Here is a 6,964-nt window from a genome sequence, read left to right on the forward strand (position 1 = left end):
TTCTGTATCATCTTTCATTTTTTTTTGCTGGACCGCATCTGCCCCTCACCAGATTGTATCCTCACTCCTATCTGACTTTATTGATTGTCACACTCTATGTCCTACAATGAAATCCCAAGATGATGGAGGGTGCCTTCTCACGACGTGAAGCACCTAGCTGGCTGGGAACCGAATATGAGGTAAATTCAAAAGGCCTGTGGACAAGACTGCTAGTGTGCTCCCTGGGTTTCCTGCAGGACAATGAATCTCTGGGAGAGGTTTGTCTTTTTGGTGTGGTGTGCTCCTCTTACTTCTAGAAGGGTGCCTTTTTTTGCATGGGGAGGTGATTTGGAGGCCAGCCTGTCTCTCAATTCATTTTCAATTAATGAACCACAGAAAAATAAAGAACACTGAGCCCTGCAGCCCAAGCAGAACCACACAGACAGGCCAACAAAAGGTTAGGAGACTCAAAAAAAAAAAAAAAAAAGGAAGGACTGAAGTTCATTAGCCACATTCCTTTAAGCACACTCCACTTACAGGCACACACAGACATACACATACTCACACAAACCCACAATAACACACACACACACACACACACACACACGCAAACATCCAACACTCGCAACTTTGTCACAGAAACACATATCCCGGCAGTTCCTGAGGCTGCATGGTTCTGCAGGAAGCCCCACCTTGGAGAGAGCAACCCTGGGGAACACAGGTGGGATGCACCAAGAAGTCAGAGAGGGCCAAGTTTCAAAAAGAGTCACCCCTACAACATCTAGGCAGGCCTGAGGAAACCTGCAGATCCCTTTGGATCATTACAGATTTCACAGTTTATTCCTGGGCCGGTGCTTGATGTTTCTTCAGGCTGGCTCATGTCTACACCCTCCTAGGATCATGGGACTATCTCAGGGATCCCACAGAGAAGACAGGTGAGAGTCCACGGCCGACGCTCCCCCATGGAGGTTTCCTTCTCTGCCAAGCTGCAGGGACTTGATGCTAGGCAATGGTGAAGTTCACTGTGACACTAGCCATAGCTCACAATTAGGCCTGGTGCCCTGAGACTAGCACATGCGCTTTTGTGAGGCAGGCTTGGGCATCTGTGAGTCATAGCTGTCAGCCTGCCTAAGCAGAGGAAAATGGTACAGCCAGAGCTAGCCTGGTATCAGGAAAAAGGTAGCCTGTGAAAATCCACCGCAGGATCATAAAAGGCTCAACTTTAGGGCCCTTTCAGTGCATCTCCACTGTCAAGTTCTGCTGGAGAAGGAGATGTTTCCAGACTGTGAGGTGGTCACTGGAAACTGCTCTTCTGATTCTATTCTTGAAAGAGACAGTGTGCAAGAATTGGGTCCCATTGGGATTGGAATATTGTCTAGTTTGTTTTTGAGGATACCTTGTGTGACGGAATCATATCTGAGACCCCCGAGGTGGGTGTCAGCAAAAGATGTCCAGGATCTTGACCTCACTTCCTCCCTTTATTCTATGCCTTACAAGGGCTCTTTGGGAAAGGCAGGAACCAGAAAAGAGGCAAGTCCAAGGTGGAGCAGTGTTCTCACACCTCAGACAGGCCACTCAAGGGTGCAGATGAGGTTGAGACAGGGTCTCAGTGGCAGTCTGTGGTGATGGCAAGCCGAAAAAAGGTGTCCAGCGGTGCTGTTGAGGCACATTGTGGATTCCCTATGAAAACAAACAAACAAAAAATCAAGGCTCACCTGAGAGAACTGGCTGCCTTGTGCTGGAGTCCAAGCAATGTTCAATTCTTCCTGTCAGAGGACCCAACACCCTCAGGCAAAGTGCAAACCACCTCATCCCACACAACCAGAAAACAACCCACAACCTAAAGCACAGCCAGCCTACATGAAGTCCCTTTTGCTCTCTTAAATAGCTGGCAACTAAATAATCTGTGGTGAGAGGCAGTCCCATCCAACAAAAGCCCAGTGAAAGAGACCATCCACACTGAGGAGGCCATGCAGATAAAATAAAACAGAGGCAAGGCTGCCAGGCAAAAGCTAGACATGGCTGCCTGCTTCTCATCCTGCAGGAATCAAGCAGCCCCCTAACAGAAGTGGGAGAACAAGAGTTTCCTTGTTAGTGGCTGTAACGGGAATTCATGGTTTTAAATATGTCAAAGCTGCCAAGTCATTAAAATGTGACAGTGTTTAGAAGGAAATGCTAATGCAATGGATTCCATAAGCGCCTCTCTCCATGAACTGGGAAATGTTTAATGTGGAAGTCCTTGAGCCAGACACAGGAAACACTAGGCCGATGAGGTGGAGGCCCACATTCTATCCAGCATCAATCCATTCCACTCACATTTGGCTCTGAATATGAAAGCCCTCAAATCAGCAGTTTGTCAGGATATCCCGAATTTGCAGTCCAGATGTTTTGTGCACATTGGAGTCCTCCCACTTCAACACTGCGCCTTGGTGGGGACTGCTTGTGCAATTAAGGGAATGAGGGGATGAAGTTTGAAACACCTTCTGTGTCATCTGTCTTCATTTTTATTGCAGGTGAAGTTGCAGGACCCATTCACTTCTCACCAGATTGGATCCTCCACCCTACCTGACCTTATTGCTGCTCACACTCTATGTTCCAGGATGAAGTCCCAAGACGATGGAGGAGTGCCCCCTCACAGCATGAAGCACCTCCTAGGCTGTCAACCGAATTCAAGGTAAATACAAGGGGCTCTGCGGACAGGACTGCTAGTGTCTCTACCTGGGTTGGCTACAGGACAATGAAACACTGGAAGATGTTTGTTTTTCAGTGTAGTGTGCTCCTCTTCTTTCTAGAAGAGTGGCTTTTTTTTTTTTGCAGGGGGAGGTGATTTGGATGGCGGTGGGATTTGGCAAGCTTCTAATTCACTGCGGATTCATGATCCGCAGATCAATAAAGAAAACACAGCCCAAGCAGACCCAACAAACAGTCCACCAAAAGGTGTTGAGACTCAAGAAAAGTAGCGCTGAAGTGGATTAGCCACATTTCTTTAAGCAGACTCCACTTACAGGCACAAACACACACACACACACAGACAACACAAACACGCTGTGCCACACACACACGCAGACATCCAACATTTGCAACACTCCCACAGAAACACACAGTGAGGCAGCTCTAGAGGCTGTGTCATTCTGTAGGAAGCCCCACCTAAGAGAGAGCAACCCCAGGGAACACAGGTGGGCTGCACCTAGAAATCACAGCGGGGAAAGTTTCAAAAACACTCACCCCTACAATGTGTAGGCAGGCCTGAATAATCCTTCTGATATTTTTGGACGCTTAGGGATTTTGTGGTTTATTCCTGGGGCTGTGCTTGACATTTCTTCAGGCTGGCTCCCACTTGCCCTCTCCCAGGATTATGGAACTATCCCATGGATCCACAGAAAAGACAGGCAAGAGTCCCCTGTGGATGCACTTCCACAGAGGCCTCCTGCATTGCCAAGATGCAGGAACTTTTTGCTAGACAATGGTGACATTAATTGTGATGCTAGCCAGAGCTCACAATCAGGAATGGTGCCCTGAAACCAGCTTATATGCATTCATGAATCAGGCTCGGGCACCCAGCTGTCAGAGCTGTCAGCCTTCCTAAGCCAAGTAAAATACTACAGGCAGAGTTGTCCTGGTATCATGAAAAGGGAGGCCTGCAAAACCCACTATGAGAACCTAAAAGTCTTGACCTCAGCTCCCCTTCAGGCCATCTCTGTGGTCAGGTCCCACCAAAGGAGGAAGAATATCAATACTGTGAGGTGGTCTGTGGAAACTACTTTTCTGTCTCCCTTTTTGAAAGAGGCTGTGTGAAAGAATTATGTCCCGTGGACATTGGAATAAAGTCTAGTATGTTTTTGATGGTTCTTTGGATGATAGAATCATACCTGAAACCCCAGGGCCTGGTGTCAGTGAAAGATGGCCAGGACCTTGACCTCACTGCCTCCCTTCATCCTGAGCCTTGCAGAGCCTCTGTGGGAAAGCAGGAGCCACAGCAAAGGAAAGTCCAAGGTGGAGCCCTACTCTCAGGCCTTGGACTGGCCACTCACAGGTGAAGACAAGGTTGAGACCAGTGTCTCAGAGGCCATCTGTGATGATGGCATGCCTAAAAAGGGTGTCCAGTAGTGCTGCTAAGGGGCACTGTGGATTCCCCATGAAAGCAAAGAAAAATTAAGGCTCACCTGAGAGAATGAGCTGCCTTGCGCTGGAGTCCAAGCAATGTTCAGTGATTCCTGTCAGAGGACCCAAAAACCTCCTGCAAACTGCAAGCAAACTTAGCCCCCAAAATAAGACCATGAACCACAAACTTGAGTGCAACCAGTCTCTGCAAAGTCACTTTTGCTCTCTGAAATCCCTGTTAGCAAAATAATCTGTGGCAAGAGGCAGTCCCATCCAGCAAGAGCTCAATGAAAGAACCCCTCCGCAGTGAGAAGGCTATGCAGATGAAATGAAACAGAGGCTAGATTGCCAGGCAAAAACCCATACATGGCTGCCTGCTTCTCATCCTACAATAATCATGCAGCCCTCCAATAGAAGTGGGAGAACAAGTGTTTTCTTATTGGTGGCTGTAACAAGAATTTACTGTCTTAAAAGTATTAAAGCTTCCCAGTCATTAAAATATGACAATGTTTAGAAGGAAACAATCACACAGTGGATTCCCATGATGGTCGTTCTCCATGAACTGGGTAACGTTTAGTGTGGAAGTCATTGAGCCATACCCAGGAAACCCTAGCCTGATGAGGAACATGAAAATCAGGAAACTAAGAGGGAAGTCTGGAGGCCATATCATACCCAGCATCAATCCAGTCCACTCCCATTTGGCTCCGGGTATGAAAGCTTTCAAATCTGGAGTTTGCCAGGGTTGCCCCAATTTGCACCCCAAATGTTCCTTGCACTGTGAAGTACTCCCATCTGAACATACAGTGATGGAGTTTGAAGCACCTTCTGTTTCATTTGTCTTCATTTTTCTGCAGGTGAGGTTGTGGGACCCTATCCACCGCTCACCAGATTGTATCCTCACACCTATCTGACCTCATTGCGGCTCACACTCTATGTCCCAGGATGAAATCCCAAGAAAATAGAGGAGTAACCCCTCATGATGTGAAGCACCTGCTCAGCTGGGAATTGAATTTGAGGTAAATTCATGGAGACCTGAGGACAAGACTGCTAGTGTGTCTCCCTGATTTGGCCACAGGAAAATGAAACACCGGGAGATATCTGCTTTTTGGTGAAAGAATCTGATTTCCTGGGTATTGGAATGTAGTCTGGTGTGTTGATTAGTGTTCTTTGGGTGACAGAATCACACCTGAGACCCCAGAGATGGGTTCCAGTTGAAGATGGCTGGACTCTAGATCTCACTGCCTACCTTTATTTTGGGCCTCGCAAGGGCTCTCTGGGACAGACCGGAACCACAACAAAGTCAAGTGTATGATTGAGGAGTGTTCTTGCACCTCAGACTTTCCACTATTGGGTGCAGATGAGGTTGAGTCAGTATCTCAGAAACGATGTGTGGTGATGGCAAGCCTGAAAAGGGTGTCCAGTAGCACTGTTGAAGGGCACTGTGGATTCACCCAATAAACCAAAAAAAAAAAAAAAAATTGGCTCACATGAGAGAATGTGCTGCCTCATGCTGAAATTTAAGCAATGTTCAATAATTCCTGCCAGAGGACCCAAAAGCCTCCTGCAAAGTGCAAGCAACCTCAGCCCCCATGAAGAGACAATTATGCACAACCTGGAGCACAGCGATTTTTCCTAAAGTCCCTTTTGCTGTGTGAAATCCTTGGCAGCTAAATAATCTGTGTAAGGCAGTCCCATCCAGCATCATCCCAACAAAGAGTACCTCTACAATGAGAATGCCATGCAAAAGAAATGAAACTGAGGCTCTATTACCAGGCAAATCCAGACATGGCTGCCTGCTTCTCATCCTACAGAAATCATGTGGCTTTCTGATAGAAGTGGGACAAGACTTTCCTTCTTGGTGGCTGTAATGGGAATTTATGGTTCTAAAAGTATTAAAGCTGCACAGTTATTCAAACCTGAGAGTGTTTAGAAGGAAACACTCATGCAATGGATTCCCATGAGGATCATTTTCCATGAACAGAGAAACATTTAGTATGGAAGTCATTGAGCCATACCCAGGAACCCCTAGGCTGATAAGGAACATAAAATCAAAAAAGGAGAGGCAAGTGTGGAGGCCACATCTTACCCATTATCAATCCTTTCCACTCCCATTTAGCTCCGGGTATGAAAACCCTCAAAACAGGAGTTTGCCAGTGTGACCCCAGTTGGCACTCCAAATATTTCTTGCCCATTGAAAATACTCTTACCAGAGCACCAGGCAATGGTGTGGACTGCTTGTGCAATTAAGGGAATGCTGGAATATATTTGGAAGCACCTTCTCTGTCATCTGTCTTCATTTTGTATTTTTGCAGGTGAAGTTGAAGGACACCATCCACCCCTCAGCAGATTATATCCTTTCCCATCTGACCCTATTTCTACTCACACTCTGTGTCCCAAGATGAAATCACAAGATGATGGAGAACTGCCCTCTCACGATGTGAAGCATCTGCTCAGCAGAGAACCAATTTGAGGTAAATTCAAGGGGCCCTTTGGACAAGATTGCTAGTGTCTCTCCCTAGTTTGGCCACAGTACAATCAAACTCTAGGAGATGCCTGCTTTTTTGATTTCATGTGCCCCTCTTCTATCAAGAAGAGTGGCTTTTTTTGCATGGGTGGGGGTGATTCGGACACCACCGCATCCCAGCCCACCTCCCAATTCACTGAGGATTCATGATATATGGAAGAATAAAGAACACAGAGCCCCACAGCCAAAGAAGAGACATCCAGACAGGCCATCAAAAGTGGTGAGGCTCAAAAAAAAAAAAATCACTGAAGTGCATTAGCCACATTCCTTTAAGCAGGCTCCACTCCACTTACAGGCACACACACACACACATGCAGAAATCAAGCACTCACAACATTCCCTCAGAAACACACAGCCCAG

This window comes from Homo sapiens, chromosome Y, assembly GCF_000001405.40.
Source record: "Homo sapiens chromosome Y, GRCh38.p14 Primary Assembly".
Classification (NCBI taxonomy): Eukaryota; Metazoa; Chordata; class Mammalia; order Primates; family Hominidae; genus Homo; species Homo sapiens.